Source organism: Homo sapiens, chromosome 2 (assembly GCF_000001405.40).
Source record: "Homo sapiens chromosome 2, GRCh38.p14 Primary Assembly".
Lineage (NCBI taxonomy): Eukaryota > Metazoa > Chordata > Mammalia > Primates > Hominidae > Homo > Homo sapiens.
In genome coordinates, this window is record NC_000002.12 from 126,182,230 (window position 1) to 126,184,551 (window position 2,322).

Genomic DNA, 2,322 nt, shown 5'->3' on the forward strand with positions numbered 1-2,322 from the left:
AGGCCTGGTGGTGACAAAATCTCTCAGCATTTGCTTGTCTATAAAGTATTTTATTTCTCCTTCACTTATGAAGCTTAGTTTGGCTGGATATGAAATTCTGGGTTGAAAATTCTTTAAGAATGTTCAATATTGGCCCCCACTCTCTTCTGGCTTGTAGGGTTTCTGCCGAGAGATCCGCTGTTAGTCTGATGGGCTTTCCTTTGAGGGTAACCCGACCTTTCTCTCTGGCTGCCCTTAACATTTTTTCCTTCATTTCAACTTTGGTGAATCTGACAATTATGTGTCTTGGAGTTGCTCTTCTCGAGGAGTATCTTTGTGGCGTTCTCTGTATTTCCTGAATCTGAACGTTGGCCTGCCTTGCTAGATTGGGGAAGTTCTCCTGGATAATATCCTGCAGAGTGTTTTCCAACTTGGTTCCATTCTCCACATCACTTTCAGGTACACCAATCAGACGTAGATTTGGTCTTTTCACATAGTCCCATATTTCTTGGAGGCTTTGCTCATTTCTTTTTATTCTTTTTTCTCTAAACTTCCCTTCTCGCTTCATTTCATTCATTTCATCTTCCATTGCTGATACCCTTTCTTCCAGTTGATCGCATCGGCTCCTGAGGCTTCTGCATTCTTCACGTAGTTCTCGAGCCTTGGTTTTCAGCTCCATCAGCTCCTTTAAGCACTTCTCTGTATTGGTTATTCTAGTTATACATTCTTCTAAATTTTTTTCAAAGTTTTCAACTTCTTTGCCTTTGGTTTGAATGTCCTCCCGTAGCTCAGAGTAATTTGATCGTCTGAAGCCTTCTTCTCTCAGCTCGTCAAAATCATTCTCCATCCAGCTTTGTTCTGTTGCTGGTGAGGAACTGCGTTCCTTTGGAGGAGGAGAGGCGCTCTGCGTTTTAGAGTTTCCAGTTTTTCTGTTCTGTTTTTTCCCCATCTTTGTGGTTTTATCTACTTTTGGTCTTTGATGATGGTGATGTACAGATGGGTTTTCGGTGTAGATGTCCTTTCTGATTGTTAGTTTTCCTTCTAACAGACAGGACCCTCAGCTGCAGGTCCGTTGGAATACCCTGCCGTGTGAGGTGTCAGTGTGCCCCTGCTGGGGGGGTGCCTCCCAGTTAGGGTGCTCGGGGGTCAGGGGTCAGGGACCCACTTGAGGAGGCAGTCTGCCCGTTCTCAGATCTCCAGCTGTGTGCTGGGAGAACCACTGCTCTCTTCAAAGCTGTCAGACAGGGACACTTAAGTCTGCAGAGGTTACTGCTGTCTTTTTGTTTGTCTGTGCCCTGCCCCCAGAGGTGTAGCCTACAGAGGCAGGCAGGCCTCCTTGAGCTGTGGTGGGCTCCACCCAGTTCGAGCTTCCCGGCTGCTTTGTTTACCTAAGCAAGCCTGGGCAATGGCGGGCGCCCCTCCCACAGCCTCGTTGCCGCCTTGCAGTTTGATCTCAGACTGCTGTGCTAGCAATCAGCGAGATTCCGTGGGCGTAGGACCCTCTCAGCCAGGTGTGGGATATCGTCTCGTGGTGCGCCGTTTCTTAAGCCGGTCTGAAAAGCGCAATATTCGGGTGGGAGTGACCCGATTTTCCAGGTGCGTCCGTCACCCCTTTCTTTGACTCGGAAAGGGAACTCCCTGACCCCTTGAGCTTCCCAGGTGAGGCAATGCCTCGCCCTGCTTCGGCTCACGCACGGTGCGCACACACACTGGCCTGCGCCCACTGTCTGGCACTCCCTAGTGAGATGAACCCGGTACCTCAGATGGAAATGCAGAAATCACCCGTCTTCTGCGTCGCTCACGCTGGGAGCTGTAGACCAGAGCTGTTCCTATTCGGCCATCTTGGCTCCTCCCTCATTCCACAATAAGCAATTTATAACACTTTGCTGTTGCTACTGCAACTACTACCATTATTATTATCATTATTAACAGAGAATGAAATAAGGAAGTAAATGAATGTCTTATGGCTTTCATATTATGTTTATAGTTTCTATTTTCTAAATGCAAGATAATATGTATATATTCTGAATATATATACTTCATATATATTTACATGTATTTTAACATAAAAAATATAATATAAATTTATTTATATATATTTAGAATATATTTATCTTGCATTTAGGGGAAGAACACCTATATATGTATGTTATATATATATAGAGAGAGAGAGAGAGAGAGAGATGTGTGTTTAAGGCAGGTTCTCTTACTGCTTCTTGATGAAACTCTTCTCTCTTCTACTCATACCCAAGAGATTCTTTCTCTTTTGGCTATTGAGACATATATCTTTATTTTCAAGGGGAAATTGCTGGGAAAAATGGCCCAAGAAGGAAAGCAAAGGGC

The 2,322-nt window shown here is 45.0% G+C and overlaps 1 annotated feature.

The window, feature by feature from the left end:
• Positions 946–1,491: an enhancer, noted in NCBI's record as "H3K27ac-H3K4me1 hESC enhancer chr2:126940752-126941297 (GRCh37/hg19 assembly coordinates)". NCBI's record gives its function as "activates a minimal SCP1, AML or CMV promoter by ChIP-STARR-seq in naive and primed H9 embryonic stem cells {active_cell/tissue: H9 hESC(naive and primed)}" and the evidence as "EXISTENCE:reporter gene assay evidence [ECO:0000049][PMID:30033119]".